General features: G+C 50.0%; 1 protein-coding gene across 4 annotated transcripts in view; it reads right to left on the reverse strand.

Moving 5' to 3' along the window:
* The window catches only part of RPH3AL (rabphilin 3A like (without C2 domains)), a 140419-nt gene that overhangs the window by 52651 nt on the left and 67247 nt on the right, over positions 1-20521 (reverse strand). For 2 of the 4 annotated variants that reach the window (NM_001190411.2, NM_006987.4), the window contains one exon: positions 16729-16815. The exons of the other annotated variants lie outside the window; for them this stretch is intronic. In NM_001190411.2, coding sequence (NP_001177340.1) covers positions 16729-16815 — 87 coding nt within the window. The remainder of the gene's footprint in view (positions 1-16728; positions 16816-20521) is intronic. 4 annotated transcript variants of the gene reach the window in all.

A 20521-nucleotide genomic window follows, 5' to 3' on the forward strand; every position in this document is an offset into this window, starting at 1 on the left:
ATAAAACACACTGGGTGCCTCATACTTTATGAGAAGAGGGAATTAAGAGACATTTTTTCTTCTTTGAGACAGGGCCTTGCTCTGTTACCCAGGCTGGAATGTAGTGGTGCGGTCTCAGCTCACTGCAACCTCCACCTCCGAGGCTCAATCGATCCTCCCACCTAGGCTTCCCGAGTAGCTGGGACTGCAGGCGCATGCCACCATGCCCAGCTAATTTATTTTTGTAATTTCTTTTTAAGAGAGATGAGATTTCGCCATTTTGCCCAGGTTGGTCTCAGACTCCTATACTCAAGCGATCCTCCCACCTCGGCCTCTCAAAGTGCTGGGATTACAGGTGCCTGGCCAAGAGATATTTTTTGTATTGTAATATAAGTAATTAGATAAGTATAGCTTTGAATATTCAAAAGTTATATATATATGCATACACATATCCACCTAAGACAACCAGCAGAATTAAAACTAGGAAAAACGTTCGTCATCCTGAAATACTTGATCTGCTGATGGCTTTTTCTTTTATTCCCTCTTCCCTCTTCCCTCCCTTGTGCTCTGTTTATAATTTCTCCTTGTTGTTGTCCTTTTCCTTTCAGTAGGAATTAAGTTTAGAATAACTCTTTCCTCATTATTTCCTTCCCTGACCTCTGGAAAATGACACAAACAACATCTGAAAAGGGAGTCAGTGGATATTAATTCATTCAAATCACATTTACTAAGCATCTCGTGTACAGTTCTAAGATTGAGCTAAGGAAACAAAAGCCAATGTTCTTGCAGACGGGAGGCCGGTGGCACAGATCCACAGTGGGCTGTCTTCTCTCCTTGTGAGTGTTCACGCCTCGCCTTTGGGCCCTTCTGTTCTGGGAGGGTTCTGCTGACTTCCACCCCACAGGGTGAGTCTCCGCTCACGGCGGATGTTCAGCGTGAGGGGGCAAAGCACAAGCAAGCGATCCAAGCCCCCAAGAGGGTCTGAGCCACACCAGGGCAGCTGGGCAGAGCTGTGGGCAGCCTCTTCCTCCTGCCCCTCTCCCCACCCAGGCATCCATCTGGTCCAATCCCTTCTGAAGTGCTAACTCATTCCTAATTGAGGTGTGAGCTCAAAGCGAAGTGAGACCCCTTCCAGGAGGATTCATGTATTTGTGTTTTAAAAGATGACACTTTAAGGCCCCAGTGGTGTGTGTGTGTGTGTGTGTGTGTGTGCGTGCACCTGCATGCATGCTGGTGAGCCAGGGAGAAAGCCCCCATCATCCCTGTGCTCCCCAGTGGGGTGTGTGTGTGTGCACCTGCGTGCATGCTGGTGAGCCAGGGAGAAAGCCCCCGTCATCCCTGTGCTCCCCTCAACTCCAGTGGGAGTGCACAGATTCATAAAATTCATCCTGCCTGGAAAGTCTGCTGCCTCCCCATGCTGCAGGTGGCCGGCTGGCTCCCCTGTACCCAGTTGGAGGGCCCCGCCCTCATCAGAAGATGCGCTGGAAATCACACCCCAGGAAAGATAGAGCACCTGCCCCTGTCCTTTCTTCCAAATCCCCCCTGGGGCAGCAAAGCTCCCCACTCAGCCCAGGAGAGCACAGCTTTCTCCAGAGCCTGAGTGAGTTTCCTCTTCATTCCAAGTGGGTTTTTGAGCAACCAGGTCAGTCTGGGAGGCAGGCAACTGCCAGCACAGTAGAAAGGAAAAACGGCAGTGAGAAACAGAATTCTGAGGGTGCTGTTTTCTTGACAGATGATTTAAACACCTCGGCTAGATTATTTCAGAACTAGAGGAAATGCTTTGGCTTCCATTAACCCCTGGCCGGGGACTGGCTCCTGTGAGGCTTCTACACAATTACCGGTAAGGAGCATTTGCCAGTCGCAGAGGGAGGTGTTGCCCAACGCTGGCTCCCGATGCCTGTAGGGCTGCGTGCCCCTGGATCAGGGAGAACCCTGGGACAGGTCGCCAAGCTTCATCTCTGGCCTCACCCTGCCTTGTAGCCCAGCCTCGGGGTCTGTGCCCCGTGGGCACCCCATGGCCTTTGCATCATCTCTCACGTCACCTGTGATGAGGAAAGGTCCCTACAAGCTGCTGAGAACAGGGGCCCCTGTCTTCCCTCTGGTCCTGCGCGCCATCCTCTCCCTTTGTCCAGATGCTCTTGTAAGCTCAGCAAATGCATGGAGGCTAATGACACTTTCATCTGCTGCTCTTAATGACTTGTGTTGTCAACATTTGACAGACTCCCCTCACTTTCAACTGGCACGCGGCATGAAATCCTTTGGAGCCCCAGTACTGAGGCTGCTCTGACACCGGTTTGAGAGAGGGCAGGCCTGTTACAATGGTGATTGGCTGCGAAGCCGCCTCTGTTCCCAGACGGAGTGGGCTGCATGCAGGAAATGAATAGGGGCTGGAGGCGGAAAATTGGACAGGCCAATTAGACCGAGCCAGGTCTTTTCAGACGAGCGTCATGATTTTGATTCAATTCCCAGGACAACAAATGTGCCTGTGTTTAAACACAGTCTCAGAAATATGTTCTCCCAAGCCAAAGTGAAACCCTGTCTGGGCTGACCCCAATCGGCAGGGCTCGAGGGTGGTGCAGAGCGGGCGGCCTGCATCTGGGGACACTTTTTTTGATTACGTATTTGATTAGTGGCTCATTTCCGACGGGTCTTGTTCCCTGCTGGGGAAAGCCTCTAGTTCTGAAGTCCCATTGCTTCCTCTGTCTTCCACAGTCATCACTGTCTCCCTGACCACGTTTAGCTCTTTGGTTTTTCCCTGCATTCTGGGAGATCCTACAGGTCTCTCCAAATCACTGATTCAAGCTTCTTATTTTTTGCCTGATTTTAGCGACCTCCTCTCATCTTTTGGGTGTATGCCCGTGAAAGCTAGCAAATCTACAAAAGTGTATTTCATACAGACATTTCAAAGAATCATATTCCAGTAAATACCTGTGAGCTCATCAAGAAATAAAATGGTGCTGGATGTGAGAAGCTCCCGTAAACCCACCCTCCCTCTCAGAGGTAACCACCATCTGGAATTTTGTATTAAGCAATCTCTTGCTTTTCTAGTTTAAAAAAACCTTGTATGTATGTATGCATTTCTAAATAAATACAGTTGACCCATGAACCACATGGGCTGGAACTGCACAGGCCCACTCCTAGCTGGATTTTCCTCTCCCTCCATCACCCTTGTGACAACGAAAGCAACCCCTCCTCTTCCTCCTCCTCATCTCCCCGTCACCCCTGTGACAATAAAACCAACTCCCCTTCCTCCTCAGCCTACCCAACACGAAGACGATGAGGATGAAGACCTTCACGATGACCCACTTCCCCTTCATGAAGAGTAAATATATTCTCTCTTCCTCATGATTTTCTTAATAACATTTTCTTTTCTCTAGCTTATTTTATTGTAAGAATATAGTATATAATGCATATAATATACAAAATATGTGTTAACTGAATGTTTTTTATTGGTAAGTCTTCCAGTCAACAGTAGACTATTAGTTAAGTTTTGGAGAGTTAATAGTTATATTAAGATTTTAAGTATGTTTTTGGGTTTTTTTTTTTTTTTTTTTTTTTTTGAGGCAGGATCTCACGCTGTTGCCCAGGCTGAAGTACTGTGGCACCATCTCGGCTCACTGCAGCCTCCGCCTCCCAGGTTCAAGCAATCCTCCGACCTCAGCCTCCCAAGTAGCTGGGGCCACTAGACATGCCCCCACTACACCAGGCTAATTTTTAAAAACTTTTTGTAGTGACAGGTTTCGCCATGTTACCCAGACTGGTCTCAAACTCTGGGGCTCAAGCAATCCTCCCGCCTCAGCCTCCTGAGTAGCTGGGACTATAGGTTCATGCTACCAGGCCTGGATGATTTTTTATTTTTTATTTATTATTATTTTTTTGAGACGGAGTCTCGCTCCGTCACCCAGGCTGGAGTGCAGTGCCGCGATCTCGGCTCACCGCAAGCTCTGCCTCCCGGGTTCACGCCATTCTCCTGCCTCAGCCTCCCGAGTAGCTGGGACTACAGGCGCCCGCCACCACGCCTGGCTAATTTTTTGTATTTTTAGTAGAGACGGGGTTTCACCGTGTTAGCCAGGATGGTCTCGATCTCCTGACCTCATAATCCGCCCGCCTTGGCTTCCTAAAGTGCTGGGATCACAGGCGTGAGCCACCGTGCCTGGCCGATTTTTTATTTTTTAGAGACGAGGGATCGCCATGTTGCCCAGGCTGGTCTTGAACTTCTGTGGCCTCAAGCAGTCCTCTTGCCTCAGCCTCCCAGAGTGCTGGGTGTGAGCCACCGTGCCTGACCTACTTATTCTTTTTCCTGTTCAGCATCTAGTGTATGATACGATTTGCTTATTTGTTTATGTTTCATCGTCTGTTCCCCACCCTCAGCCCTGGCCCCCTTGCTGGAACGCAAGCTCCAGGCAAAGCTATTTCACCGTTGCTGTTTTCCAAGGGCCTCGAACAGTGCCCGGCACATAGCAAATCCTCAGTGAACATTAGAGGAATAAGTGATTCAAGAATAGAGCTGTTAGAAGGTGTTCTGGAGGAAGACGCATCCGGCTTCATCCCTGGCACCATCAATTACTACCCAACGTCTTTGGGCAAGTGACCTCTTCTCTCTAAGCTTCAGTTTCTCCACCTGTCACAGAGGACAATGGGCTCCCGTGGGGATGAAGCGAGATGATCATGGCCTGGCCCTTAGTGGGCACTCAGCTCACATCTGCTATGAACGATGGGAGTCCTTCGGTGTGCCTGTGTGTGAACGATGAACTCACGGACTGGAGCACTGTGCTGAAAGAGTCAGCAGCCTCTTGGATCTCTCAGTGCCTCAGAGGCAAACTTCTCCAGTGCACAGACGTGGGCTCAGGTAGACGCCCCAGGCAAGGGGCAGGGGAAGATGGGATGGCTCAGTCCATCTGCAGGGGTGCAGTGCAGGAGTCCCCATGAGGCAGACTGCCCTGGGGGCTGGTGAGCACCAGGAGCCCCCTCCTCCTGCCACCACCCATGTGTGGGAGGCCAGGAGGCTGCACTGATAGCGGGTCTCTCTGGCAGAGCCACAGAGGCGTGGGAGGCGACCAACACACTGAGGAAGTATGACCATCCGGGTCCCCCAGGGATGCCGTGACAGCAGCCCAGAGTGAGGCAGGCACAGACGGTGGGGTGCTCAGGCAGCCGCCCGCCCCAGCACCAGCCACCCACTCCCGAATGCACTCACAGACCTCCAGAGGGGGCCCTCTGGCAAAGCTGTTTGCAGCAAAAATCCAAACTGCAAGTAACAGCAGAACCAGGAGAGAAACAGCATGGAGAAACAGATGGCAGCTTGCGGTGAGCACAGGCCGCCTGCCCGGGAAGCAGGTGCCGCAAGGATGCTGGGCTGGGGCTCGGCTAGCACGGCCAGTTCCCACCAGCGGCTGGGCTGGCTGCGGAGTTTGGGAGCCCCCGATGATCCTGACCTTCCGTAGGCCTGTGAGGCCCAGACTGAGGAAGAGTCTCCCAGCTGGAAGACCCCAGTGGGCTGCTGGTCACCTCCAGGATAAGTGAGTTGGAGAGGATTTAAAAACCAACCCTGCCAGGCATGGCGGCTCATGCCTGTAATCCCAGCACTTAGGGCAGCAGAGGCAGGAGGATTGGTTGAGCTCAGGAGTTTGAGGCCAGCCTTGGCAACATCGTGAGATGCCAACTCCACAAAAGAAAAAAAAAAAAAATTTCTCCCATTCTGTAGGTTGCCTGTTCACTTTGATCATAGTTTCCTTTGCTGTGTGGAAGCTCTTTAGTTTAATTAGATCCCATTTGTCTATTTTGGCTTTTGTTGCCATTGCTTTTGGTGTTTTAGACATGAAGTCCTTGCCCATGCCTATGTCCTGAATGGTAAAGCCTAGGTTTTCTTCTAGGGTTTTTATGGTTTTAGGTCTAACATTTAAGTCTTTAATCCATCTTGAATTAATTTTTGTATAAGGTGTAAGGAAGGGATCCAGTTTCAGCTTTCCACGTATGGCTAGCCAGTTTTCCCAGCACCATTTATTAAATAGGGAATCCTTTCCCCATTTCTTGTTTTTGTCAGGTTTGTCAAAGATCAGATGGTTGTAGATGTGTGGTATTATTTCTGAGGCCTCTGTTGTGTTCCATTGGTCTATATCTCTGTTTTGGTACCAGTACCATGCTGTTTTGGTTACTATAGCCTTGTAGTATAGTCTGAAATCAGGTAGCGTGATGCCTCCAGCTTTGTTCTTTTGGCTTAGAATTGACTTGGCAATGCGGGCTCTTTTTTGGTTCCATATGAACTTTAAAGTAGTTTTTTCCAATTCTGTGAAGAAAGTCATTGGTAGCCTGATGGGGATGGCAATGAATCTACAAATTACCTTGGGCAGTATGGCCATTTTCACAATATTGATTCTTCCTATCCATGAGCATGGAATGTTCTTCCATTTGTTTGTGCCCTCTCTTATTTTGTTGAGCAGTGGTTTGTAGTTCTCCTTGAAGAGGTCCTTCACATCCTTTGTAAGTTGGATTCCTAGGTATTTTATTCTCTTTGAAGCAATTGTGAATGGGAGTTCACTCATGATTTGGTACTCTGTTATTGATGTATAGGAATGCTTGTGATTATTGCACATTGATTTTGTACCCTGAGACTTTGCTGAAGTTGCTTATCAGCTTAAGGAGATTTTGGGCTGAGACAACAGGGTTTTCTAGATATACAATCATGTCATCTGCAAATAGGGACAATTTGACTTCCTCTTTTCCTAATTGAATACCCTTTATTTCTTTCTCCTGCCTGATTGCCCTGGCCAGAGCTTCCAACAGTATGTTGAATAGGAGTGGCGAGAGAGGGCATCCCTGTCTTGTGCCAGTTTTCAAAGGGAATGTTTCCAGTATCCAGAATCTACAAAGAACTTAAAACAAATTTACAAGAAAAAATCAAACAACCCCATCAAAAAGTGGGCAAAGGATAAGAACAGACACTTCTCAAAAGAAGACATTTATGCAGCCAAAAAACACATGAAAAAATGCTCACCATCACTGGCCATCAGAGAAATGCAAGTCAAAACCACAATGAGATACCATCTCACACCAGTTAGAATGGCGATGATTAAAAAGTCAGAAAACAACAGGTGCTGGAGAGGATGTGGAGAAATAGGAACAATTTTACACTGTTGGGGGAATGTAAACTAGTTCAACCATTGTGGAGGACAGTGTGGTGATTCCTCAGGGATCTAGAACTAGAAATACCATTTGACCCAGCCATCCCATTACTGGGTATATACCCAAAGGACTATAAATCATGCTGCTATAAAGACACATGCACACGTATGTTTATTGCAGCACTATTCACAATAGCAAAGACTTGGAACCAACCCAAATGTCCATCAGTGATAGACTGGATTAAGAAAATGTGGCACATATACACCATGGAGTACTATGCAGCCATAAAAAAGGATGAGTTCATGTCCTTTGTAGGGACATGGATGAAGCTGGAAACCATCATTCTCAGCAAACTATCGCAAGGACAGAAAACCAAACACCGCATGTTCTCACTCATAGGTGGGAATTGAACAATGAGAACACATGGACACAGGAAAGGGAACATCACACTCCAGGGACTGTTGTGGGGTGGGGGGAGGGGGGAGGGATAGCATTAGGAGATATACCTAATGCTAAAATGACGAGTTAATGGGTGCAGCACACCAACATGGCACAGGTATACAGATGTAACGAACCTGCACATTGAGCACATGTACCCTAGAACTTAAAGTATTATTTAAGTCACACACACACACACACACACACACACCAAAAAACCATGTAAGACCAACCCTGTGAAGCCACTTTTCTTTTTTTAGTCAATCAACAAGCAGGAGAGAGGGGCCAGAAGGAAGAAATAAAGACCCAGCCTCAGTGGGCCAGTGGCGACGTGAGATCCCAGCAAGGGCGACATCAGGGAGAGACCCCAGCAAGGGCTACGTCAGGGTGAGACCCCAGCAAGGGCTACGTCAGGGTGAGACCCCAGCGAGGGCGACATCAGGAAGAGACCCCAGCGAGGGCGACGTCAGGGAGAGACCCCAGCGAGGGCGACGTCAGGGAGAGACCCCAGCGAGGGTGACGTCAGGGAGAGACCCCAGCGAGGGTGACGTCAGGGAGAGACCCCAGCGAGGGTGATGTCAGGGTGAGACCCCAGCGCGGGTGACGTCAGGGAGAGACCCCAGCGAGGGTGACGTCAGGGTGAGACCCCAGCGAGGGCGACGTCAGGGAGAGACCCCAGCGAGGGTGACGTCAGGGAGAGACCCCAGCGAGGGTGACGTCAGGGAGAGACCCCAGCGAGGGTGATGTCAGGGAGAGACCCCAGCGAGGGTGACGTCAGGGAGAGACCCCAGCGAGGGTGACGTCAGGGAGAGACCCCAGCGAGGGTGACGTCAGGGTGAGACCCCGGCGAGGGCGACGTCAGGAAGAGACCCCAGCGAGGGCGACGTCAGGGAGAGACCCCAGCGAGGGCGACGTCGGGGAGAGACCCCAGCGAGGGTGACGTCAGGGAGAGACCCCAGCGAGGGTGACGTCAGGGAGAGACCCCAGCGAGGGTGACGTCAGGGTGAGACCCCGGCGAGGGCGACGTCAGGAAGAGACCCCAGCGAGGGCGACGTCGGGGATATCCAAAGTGCCCCACAGGGAAAAGATTCTGAAGAGATCGGAACACGAAATTTCTTTGCAAATTTCTCTTTCAATCCACAAACTTTTCCCGAGCACCTTTATATACAACACACTGCAGGAGACACTGAGTGCTGGCTGTGGCCCGTGGCTGCCGGGTTATAATCAGGATGTGGCGGGAAATTGAGGAGGCAAAGCCAATGCTGAACAGAGAAGAACACGCTAATTGTCTTAACCAGCTTTCAGCTCCTTAAAAATTGGTCTTCTTCACCCCTTTCTAGGCCACCCCCCCTCAGATAACATCTGTGTCCTCCAAGAAGCTTTCTTATGGCCCAGGTACGTTTGAGACGCTGCAGGAATGGTTTGCAGAATCCTGGGGAATCTAGATTCCAGTGAACTTTTCTACTGATTACAGCATCACTTTGAGTGAGTCATTCTTCGTTTTCGTTTAGTGGATAGGGATTCGAGGCTAAACAGTAAATGAAATGAATTTCTGGTTTGCAACATCCTGTGCTTAGAAGCCGCCAGGGCCGTTCCTCCCAGCCCCAACTAACGCACCCATGAAAGCACGTGGAAAAGGCACCGCGAAACCCCAGCCCGGGGCCTCTGACAGCTCAGCACCAGGCTCCACATCAGGTGAGGGGATGAGGCGGGAGACGGGAGGCGTGCCATGGACCACCTGGGCCTCGCCTGCCCACCTGGGCCTCGCCTGCCTGGCTGGAGTAGGGGCAGCAGCTGAAGCCGCCTGGGCAGCCTTCCTGGCACTTCAGGGCTGCCAGTTCCTGGGGCCACAGGGGCTGTCCTCCCTCCGCCAACCCTCCTGTCATCCCTGGGAGATACAGCTTCCAGAATCTAGCCAGTCCGGCAATGTGAGTTGCATTGGGGAAGGAGTATTTCCTGAAGCAAGGCTGCATCTGGGAGAGCAGGGAGAGCAGGAAGAGCGGAGGAGACAGCATAAGCCAGGGGCTGCGGTCCCTCGTCCTCCCTGGTTCCGACGGGCCAGGTCGCAGGAGAGTCAAAGGTGCCTCCTGCATGGGGCAGGGTCACAGGCACAATCCCAGACCAAGGGAGGGGCTATGAGGAGACGCCTTGGAGTCAATCCTGGGTCTGCGGGGCTTAGGCTGCTGCAGAAGCGGGGAGGGGAAAACCTCCAAAGTGTTTAGTGCAGGTGAATGTGGCATGCTAGGGCTCAGGAACATAATTAGACAATTGTTTGGTGTCTAGGAAACATAAAGACGGGCCTTACTAATAAAATAGAAAACCAAAAGAAGAAAAGGAGCAAAATAAAGGAAATAATGGAGGACTGCCGGGAAACCAGAGTGGAGAACAGAATCGAAACTTACACCGGAGGGGAAAGAGCAGACGTGGTCACGGAGAAAACAGAGTAGCTGGAATGCTGTTCTAGGCTCATAGGAGCATGAGCTGGTATTAATACAGGCACTCTGGAAAATGATCAGGAATTACCCAATAGAGTTGAATGTGGACACACCCCATAATCCAAGAGAAACCCTCAGGCCTAAAATCTGCAGAAACTCTTGTACATGAACATGTACTCCAGGAGACATGAATGTTTACAGCACAATTATTCATAACAGCAAAAAAAACAAAAAACAAAAAAAGGAGAGTAACCAAAATGATCACCAATGGTAGAATGGATAAATAGGTACGTATTTTTTACAATGGGATATAGACCACAGTGATGGGAATGAATACAGCTACACACATCAACATGGGTGAATTTCAAGATCACAATGTCGAATAAAGAAGAAATGCACAGAAAAATACACACAGATCCACCTTGTTTATGTCACATTCAAACACAAGCAGAACTAAGCATGGGGACGTCTGCAGTGGGGTAACGACTCCAGTGGTAATTAGTGGGTACCTCTTTTATTATGATTCTTCAAACTGCACACAAGTGTTTCTGAGTACAGTTTGGAACCATAAGCTCCCAGGCTGGAGTACATTGGTGCAATTACGGTTCACCGCAGCCTCGACCTCTGGGGCTTAAGCAGTCCTCCCACCTCAGCCTCCTGATAGCTGAGGCTACAGGCGTGTGCCACTATACCTGGCTAATGTGGGGATTTTTTGTAGAGAGGGTGTTTCACCATGTTGCCCAGGCTGGTCTCAAGCTCCTGGGCTCAAGCAATCTGCCCACCTTGGCCTCCCAAAGTGCTGGGATTACAGGTGTGAGCCACCATGCCCAGGCTTATTCCCTTTTTTGTTTATTTAAATCTTGAACACACATCACAGTTTATTAATCCACCAGCAAGAAAACCAGGCGAGGGACTAGAGTGTGCCAGTCCACAGCGGGAATGGAATGGAAAGTCCAGAGCTGGGAAATGGAGCTCTGAGCTAAGCAGCCAGTTTACAAAGGCAAGCAGCTCATTAGGAGGATGTCACGGTTCTGTGTGGTCTCAAGAACCTCGTCTCCAGGACAGTTGGTACAGAGGAAATCGGGGACGAGACAGTTGGGAGCACCAATCAGGAATCAAACATTTAAAATAACCAATGAGAAGCAAATGATAAGGAAACATCTGTGGCTGTTAATAGGAATGACAAGGTTCACCGTGCTAAGAAATGACTAAAATATAGTTCAACCGAGTTTTAAAATTCATTCGTGAGATCTCTCATTTTTAGGGATGAAAATGGTTCCTGGGGTTCTTTTCCAAATTTGCTTGTACTTTTCTCAAAGGTCTGGTTTGTTCAACCTGGTTTCTATTCCTTCTCTTAGATCTTTTGTTTTATTTTAGAGACAGGGCCTTGCTCTAAAGACCTCAGTGAGCCTTTCTCACTAAGGCTGGAGTGCAGTGGCACGATCTCAGCCCACTGCCACCTCCACCCCCCGGGCAGAAGTGATCCTCCCGCCTCAACCTCCCAGGAAGCTGGGACTGCAGGCGCTCACCACGATGCCCAGCTAATTTTTGTATTTTTTTGCAGAGAAAAAGTCTTGCCATATCTCCCAGGCTGGTCTCAAACTCCTAGGCTCAAGCAATCCTCCTGCCTCAGCTTCCCAAAATGTCGGGATTACAGGTGTGAGCCACTGTACCTGGCCTCTCTTATATCTTTTAATTAATTAATTTTTAAAAAACACATTATCATCTCTTTCACCATTTCACTATTCGCTCTCATTTTCTGGGTACCAATTCTCCAAGCTGTTATATTTTCCATTTCTCCCTCTTTTCTTAATGTGGCTGGTGGACAACAGGGGTAGAATCCACAGAATTTTGAGTGGGAAAGATCAGGATTAATTGCATTATCTGTAAAGTGGTCTTTTTTGTATAAAGGCAAAAATTCTCAGAGAGCCAAGGACTCAGAAAATGTATCATCCATGCACCCTTATTTTTTTAATTACATAAAATTACAGACCAGCTAATTATTAGAAAAATAAAATAACTCAAGAGTCTACAAGAAAATAATCATTGATTTTCCTCCTAGAAATCCATTCTAAGGATAGAATCTAAAATGTAGACAGAGAGCTATGCACACAGTAATAAGAGAAAGAAATGAAAACAATTTAAATGTCCTCAATTAGGAGAATATCTATATGACAGAATGTTTACAAAGAGTTCTTGATTACACCGGAAAAGACTTAAGATATTCATTTTAAAACACAGGTTCAATAATATAAAGAAAAAAGACACAGAAAAATGGTTGGAATATACTAAATATTAACAGTGGTTGTCTCTGATTCTGGATTTTTGGAAGGTGTTTATTTATTTATGCTTGTCTATAATTGTAAATGTTCCTCAATGATCCATATTAATTTTATAATCAGAAAAGAGTAAAATGTAGAGAGTAGATGTTAAAAAATGAAAACTTCCAAAGGTAACAACAGATAAGAACTTAAATATCTGGGCAATATTAAATAAGAAAAATAAAATACTATGCTACTGGCTTTGAGATAGTCTACAGTTTATCCTCAGCACAGCAGACAGAGTACCCTTTAAAAGAGGGGGAGATCGGATTCTGTCTCCGCTTTACTCAAGACCCTCCAAGGGCGCCTCATTTTACTGAATATAAAACCAAAGTCTTGGCCAGGTGTAGTGGCTCACGCCTGTAATCTCAGCACGTTGGGAGACTGGGGCAGGTGGATTTGCTTGAGCTCAGGAGTTTGAGACCAGCCTGGGCAACATGGCAAAACCCCGTCTCTACAAAAATGCAAAAAATTAGCTGGGCGTGGTGGTACAGCCTGTAGTCCCAGCTATTCGGGAGGCTGAGGGGGGAGGGTTGTTTGAGCCCTGAAGGCAGAGGTTGCAGTGAGCTGAGATCGTGGCACTGCCCTACAGCCTGGGTGACACAGTGAGATCCTGTCTCAAAAAAACAAAACAAATAAAAAAAACCCCGAAACCCTAAGTCCTTACAAAGGTCTCTAAGCACCAACATGGTCTGACCCACTCTATCGTAACTCTGATGATACAGTTTGGCTGTGTCCCCACCCAAATCTCATCTTGAACTGCAGCTCCCATAATTCCCAAGTGTTGTGGGAGGGACCCAGTGGGAGGTAATTGAATCATGGGGGCGGTTCCCTCCATACTGTTCTCGTGATAGTGAATGAGTCTCACGAGATCTGATGGTTTTATAAGAAGAAACTCCTTTCACTTGGTCTCATTCTTTCTTTGCCTGCCGCCATGTAAGACGTGCCTTTCGCCTTCCGCCGTGATTGTGAGGCCTCCCCAGCCATGTGGAACCGTGAGTCCATCAAGCCTCTTCCCTTTAGTACCCAGTCTCAGGTATGTGTTTATTAGCAGCATGAGAACAGACTAATACATCTGACAACCTCTCCCCAGCCCCAACTTAACTCAAGTCACACTGGTCTCCTCGCTGTGCCTCAGATCTACCAAGCACACACATCTGCCTCGGGGCCTTTGCACCTGCTGCTTTGCACCCCTACTTGGAATGCTTTCCCTCCACATAGCCACAGAAGATGCTTCAGATCTCCATTCAAAAGTCATTTTGTCGGTGGGCCCCTCTCTTATCCCCATATAAACCAGCAACTGCCCCAGTGTCCCCAGCACCCCTTCTCCCTTTGCCCTAAGGACTTGATCACCGTCTGTGACACTGCAGAATTTACTGGGTTTGTGGTCTCCCTCTCCCATTGGAAGAGCTATTTTGCCTGGCACATAGGAGGTGCTCAATAAATGTGTCAGCTGCCTACATGAATAAACGCATTTGACTGCAGGCTCCCAAAGCAGATGGGCTGAGGCTCACACTGCCGCCTGGTGAAAGGGCATAACACAGGCAGCAACACCACCCTGACAGCCCCAGGAACATCTCACCAGCACTCAACTCGCTCCAGAAAAAATACTTACAATTACAGCCAGAGATGATGGAAGTGAAGCACGAAAGGAAAGGAAGATAAGAGGCCTTGGGCAGAATGCTCCAAGAGTTTTCATCAGAAAACCCAAGTTCTTCCATTAGGATTTGGCTTTTGCGGGGAGACATAACTCCAAATTTTCATCACAGACTCAGAACCAGCTTAAAATCTGACATTTTAAACGGCCTTTCTAGTTAGTTATCTCTTCATTATGATTAGACATTTTTCTAAGAAGAAAGGGCATTAGGAAACCAATTACGCCAGCCTTCCCACACCCCACAAGCAGGCAGAAAAATCCAGCACATGGTTCTGGTACCCACAGGTACCCAGGCTCATATACCATGAACATGTTCCCAGCCCCATCCATTCCTGCTAACCGTGCACCATATGCCTGGTGCTGCAGAGAGGGAATATCCTTGATCTTTTAGAGGCTAAGTTTTATCAGCCTCTAAAAATTCAAGGGCAAAGTAATAGCGTAATGCACAGCCTCATATTCTCTGCCTTAGGAAAGATAAGAAAATTCATCCTAAGCTATTTCGGACTTTTCTGGGCACTGGAGCCCTCTGGAGATTAAGACAGGCTGGTGGTAGCTCAAGACTGTTACGGAGTGTGAGGGTGACTCATGAGGGGGATGGGGAAACCCTCAACTAAATTATTAAACTTGCTAAATTTGTCTTTCCTTCCATTCACTTTCTTTTCCTTCAAAGATCCCTCACTTCTGCCCTCCCACAGCTCAGCTGTGACCATCTTTTCATCCCACAAAGTGTCTCCCCACAGACGATGTTTTAAGGAATTTCCTCTTCCATGGACATGTGCATTGTCAAAGGGGTCCCCTGAAGATTAGAAGGACCTCAGGTTCAAAGGGGAGATTTCTGGCTGAAGAGGAAGGGAGGCCTCTGATAGTTATGGAATATCTATGCTGGAGGTTTTGCCCACTTCAACAGTCTTACTGAATTCTCGCAGCAACTGTGGAGCAGACATTATTAACTCCATCTGGGGATGAGGAGTCAGGGACTTCCAGCAAGACAGAATGCTAGCACACACTGTGAGGCCCTGCCTGCAGCTTTTCCTGTTCCAAAGACACGGAAGTGATAGAGGAAAATACTTTCACAACAACAGCAGCAAGGAAATGTGCGCAAAAACAAGATCTATATCTCCATGGATCATAAATTCAAAGTATTTGCCATTTTGAGGGGTGAAGGCACAGCCGCTTGCTGAGCTCTGGGCTCCGAAGCAGACAGAGGCAGCTGGGAGATTGGTCTTCCAGGGTTCAGGGACTAAAAGTGACCCTTGGGAGGTGGGGGACCAGAGCAGAGTCACTAAAATCAGGCTGTTGAGGGGATTTTCCACCTGGGAAAGGAGGCTGAAAACAGCAGGGACCTGCCCCGGGACTATAACATACATAAGGAAATGAGCTCAGAGGAAAGCAAGCCCAGCAGCAGCAGGGCCTGGCCAAGCTGTCACGGCTGGGATGAGGGTCTGGGAATAATCCCAGTATCACCATGGATGAGCAGCTCGCCACAAACCCAGGATGCCTGGCTCAGCACTGGGCAACCCCAGACCCAGCGGGAGGCAGCTGCAAAACTATTCAGCTAGAAGAGCCGGGTGGGAAACAGAGAGAAACGGACTATTATCACACAGGATGAGCGCACAAACCAAAATTCCAAAACTTCCAAGGAAAACTAACCCTAAGAAAGACAACCCACGAAACCAATGGGGAATTGATCTCAAGGAAAGACTTAGTGACTTGGAAGGCAGTACTGAAGAATTCACCCAGAAAGGACCACAGAAAGATAAAGAAATAAACAAGAAAGAGCAGTTGGGAGCTGTGGGGGATGGTTGAGGAGCTCTGAAATGTATCCAGCGGGATTTCCAGAGAGGAGAGAAGGAATGGCAGAGGAGCAATATTCAAAGACATCATGGCTGAGAATTTTCCAGAATTGAAGGTGTTTTGTGGATCCTCGGATGTGACAAGCAAGATTTAAAAAGTAATAAATCCTGATCTGGAAGACCAGCTGCACGCCTCCTCGCCCCTCACATTCTGTCCCAGCCCTGCCTCCCCAGGGCACTTCCCAGAAGCTACCTGCCACGTCCTGCTGTTTTGGCTCCAATCCGACCTGGCACAGGGAGGTTCTGACTGTCCCTGCCCATCTGCTACTCCCCAGAGTCCTTGCTGAGCCTCGACTTCCTTCCCTCAAATGGGGTTGGAACTAGAACCATAGAACTGTAGCAGCAGAAGGGGCGTTGGGTGGCATCGTGACAGCAGACAACGGCTGAGTTTGGTTTCCAGCTCCCCCACTAACTGGCTCTGTGCTTGCAGGTTATTTAACCTCTTGTGTCTTTATTTCCCCATCAGGAAAAGGGGATAAGAATAGCACCACTGGGGTTGTGCAGGGATGAAATGAATTCATACATGCAAGGAACTTATGGCAGTGCCAGGCACACAGTCAGCGTTCACCCTGGGTAGCTACTACTGTTACCATAATAACAGCCCCCACAAACACCACATGCTCTCACACTCACAGTGCGAGGGGCTTCCCACCGAAACCTCGGACTCTCCCACGTGTAGAACCTGCCACCCCTGCATAGGGGAAGTGGCCACAGGCTGTCCCTCCGTGCTTTTCTCCGCCGAGTGGTCAGTTCTTCCTTGACTTCTGGAGAAACCCCTCCCAGTGACTGTCCACCCATCCCCATCTGAGAGCGTATCCAGCCCGCCCAGCCCTCCCCACCGTCACCCTGACCGTCCACCCATCCCCATCTGAGGGCATATCCAGCCCACTCAGCCCTCCCCACCGTCACCCTGGACGCCCTACCTCTCTTTGCTCACTGCAGATCTTACACAGCCACAGGGGCCGCTTCTGGCCAGGGGAGGCCTCGATCCCACATTTGGTGCAGACTTTCTACAAGAGAGAGGACATGGGGTTGTAAAGATTGCAGCCGCTTCCTCCTCCGCCGAGGGGCTCAGACAACTGTAACGAAGGGACACTTAGCATCTTCCAAGGAGCGTCTCTTGCTTCAGGATAGAAGGAATCAATCACCCCAGAGGCACAGCTCATCTAAAAATCCTTAGTTGGCTTTGGACGTAATGGATGGCCCCATCCACGGAACCCCCACCCCAGAGTTAGGTTCTGTTGGAACCACAGCAAAGCTTGCTGACATTCACAGCTGCGTCACGTTTGATAGCAAAGAACTGGAAACAACACAGACGCCCAATGCCAGGGGAGGGTCCAGGCAAACACGACAGCACGTGATCTGGCCTTCACACAGCCGACGGCGGTGCTGCCTGGAAATAATGCGATTCAACAAAGAAACATACGTTTGCGTATAACCCGAAACTGGCCTGCGTGTCCGACAGGTCAGAAGACACAATCGTGAGAAATGCTGGTAACAACGTGACAGTTACGTAAACTTTGGGCCCACGTTATAGGTGAGGAACCCGGGGCTTGGCAGAGTCTGAGGATATGCTCAGGTTCACATGGCAGCCACGGATTCCGGTCGGACTCCAGAGACAGTTTATCATGTTCTCTGGACGCAGAAATAACCAGAATCTAGAACCTACAGTCTGCTGATGTGCTGGGCCATCGAAGACCCCACGCCTGGGAGCTTCATGAGAACTGGAAAGGGGCTTTGCTTTAAGCAAGGTTGATTAAGCTCATAACTTATAAATACAATTACTGTTGCTTAAAAACAAGAATATGTCCTGAGAAAAGGCACAGTGAGGTGATTGCATCATTGTGCAAACAGCACATAGAGCACACTTACGCAAACCAAGATGGTATAGCCGGCTGCACACCCAGGCTAGCTGCTGTATTCTGTGGCTGCTAGGCCACAAACCTGAACGACATGTTACTGTACCGAAGGCTGCAGGCAACTGTGACACAGCGGAAAGTATTCCTGTATCTAAATATATCATAGAAATGGTACAGTAAGAATGTGGTATTATAATGGTGTGGGACATTTGCTGGCCGAAACGTCATTATGTGATGCAGGACAGTTCTTACGTTGCTTCCCCTGAAGGCACAGCAACAAGGCCAGAAGAAGCAAGCTGGGAGGCAGAGGTGGATGTGTTGGGGCTGAGACCGGCTCCAGGCTAACCCAGGCAGAGTCTGATTCAGCGATCGCTGGCGACTCCTCAGGACTGTTGCCCCAGCTCATCCATCTTTCTGCCACACGGAAGCCACCCGGTCCCTGCGTGGGTGGGGGCTCTCTGCAGCCCCCCGCCGAGGGAAGGTTGCATCTGTTGCTTGGCCTTTTCTGCAGGCTGCCAACTCAGCAAGGAGCACGTCTCTCCATGGAGAGGGAAAATGTCACCAACTTGGCTTCCACGTCGAGCGTGTCGAGCGTGTGGAGGTCACTGGCCTGATCGGGTGGCCGAGCTCAGTGCCCCTGGGGTGGGGGAGCAAACTCACGGGGGACGGAAGCTATGATACATTCCTGCGGGGGACGGATTTGCTACCATCCAATGCTCAGGTACGAGAAATGTCACCTTTTATTTATCCAAAGAAAATGCAATCTGCTCCAAGCTCCTGTCCCTCTGGATTGGCAGGAAAATCTGCCCAAGCCTCAGCCACACTTGGGGCCCCTTTCCAGCTCTCATGAAGGTCCTAGGCTTGGGGTGTTTGATGGCCCAGATCTGCAGAGGGTCCCCTGAGCGCCGTCCACACTCCTCACTGCTGGCCTTCTTGCTTCCCAAGCTCTCATGACCCCATGAGAGGGAGTGGGAGCATGTGGTCATATCTGTGCCAGTCCTGGGTTTGGGATCATTGCTAGGCTGGGCTTCAGCCCTTCCAAGGACCAGTAGCCTGTCTCCCTGGAACCCTAGGCCACCATCCCTCACAGAGACTGGTGACTCTCCCCTTCCCCAAGAGAGCAGCCTCTCTCCACCTCTTCCACCCTTCGCTCCTAATGTTCCCACCTCTACAACAGGGTCCCCCATCAGCCTATGAGGTGGGCTCCAGAACCACAACGTGGGCCTCTCCTCTCTGGGTAAAGGGGAGAGGAAGCACTGATGCTACTTAGCTCTGTTTTCCTTGCGAATTCCCACCATCCCTGTGTACACTGTAACAGGTGGAAACAAGTGTGGCCCTCAGAGACGTGAGCTCTCCCTTCTGCACTCTACACACGCATCGGTTGAGGGCAGCTCACCTTATAAACATGCAGAGTGCCCTGCCCTGCATAGGCTGCTGAACGAGGCGATGCTGCGGGAACAGGAGGGAATCAAACACCCACAGCGCAGTTAGTGAGCAGTTATCGGACCGGGCCAGAGTATGAAGGAGGCAGGTGTTATGATCCCCACTATATAGATGAAGGAACAAAGGCTCAGAGATGACTCGGGCTGCCCGAGGTCACACAGCTCGTTCACGGTAAAGCAGAATTTTTGTTCAGACCTCAGGAGGGTCGGTCACACCCTCCCCTGCCCTGGTGCCAGGCTGGTGCGCACGGCTCTCTAGAGAGCTGCTTCTGCTCAGGCGGGTCCCTGGGGACGTGGCTGATGGCTCTCAAAACAATGGGCAGAGAAGGTGCCAGGGGCCGACCCTGGGACAAAGCTTTGCTGGGGTCGTGAGTGTGGCCTGATGCTGACTCTAGGAGCAACGGCCCAGGCTGGACAGTCTGGCCCTGCCCTCCATGCTCTCCCAGTGGGGAGGGGAGAGGTTTCCAGCTGTCAGCAGGAGGCCCGGCAGCCTCTCCATTGCACCCCACAGGTGCCCTCGCAGCCTGGCCTCTCCCCCGGGGGCCGCCTTCCCCTATGCACACAGCCAAGGGGGAGAGGACAGCCTCTGCCCCATCGTAGTCAGCTTAGGCTGCTGTAACAAAAATACCATAGACTGAGTGGCTGAAACAACAGAAGCATGTTTATCACAGCTGCAGAGGCCTGACGGCCCCGGTCGGGGTGCCCACACGGTCAGGTTCTGGGGAGGGCTCTTCCTGGCGTACAGACGGCAGCTTCTTGCTGTACCCTCCCACAGTAGAGTGAGGTCTGGCCTCCTCCTCTGATAAGGACGCCAATCCCATCCCCAGGGTCCCACCCTCAGGACCTCATCTGATCCCTCCCAAAGCCCCCATCTCCAAATATCACATCTGCGTGACGGCTTCAACGTAGGTATTTTGGGGTGATATAAACATTCAGTCCACAGCAGCGCCCGACCAGGACTGGGATCCTCTCTCTGCTTTTGTACTCGGGAGCCCTAGAAATGGGAGCATCGTCGTGTCTCTCAGCCCTGGAGTCGTCTAGAGCCCTCGGTCCCCCTGAGCCTGCACCTCACGCCATCCTGCGCTATCACCAGATCCTGTTCCTGAGACGTGACTCTCGGCTCCTTCAGAGGCCGCACGGCACGGCGCACAGGTTTGGGGATGGCAGACCTGGGTGGGCTCCCGGGCAAGTCACCCAAAGCCTCTCTAAACCTCAGACGTTCTCAGCTGTAAAGTGGGATAATACTTACACCCTTGGGTTGTTTTGAGGATCAACTGAGACACAGGAAAAGCAACCAGCACGTAATAGCGACTCGATAAATGCCAGCTGCGGTTAGTGCAGCCCCTCGTACCGTGTTCTGCAGCCCGGCGTGGTTTTCCTCTAGTCCCACACGATCTAATACGGTAGCCACCAGC

Source organism: Homo sapiens, chromosome 17, assembly GCF_000001405.40.
Source record: "Homo sapiens chromosome 17, GRCh38.p14 Primary Assembly".
Lineage (NCBI taxonomy): Eukaryota > Metazoa > Chordata > Mammalia > Primates > Hominidae > Homo > Homo sapiens.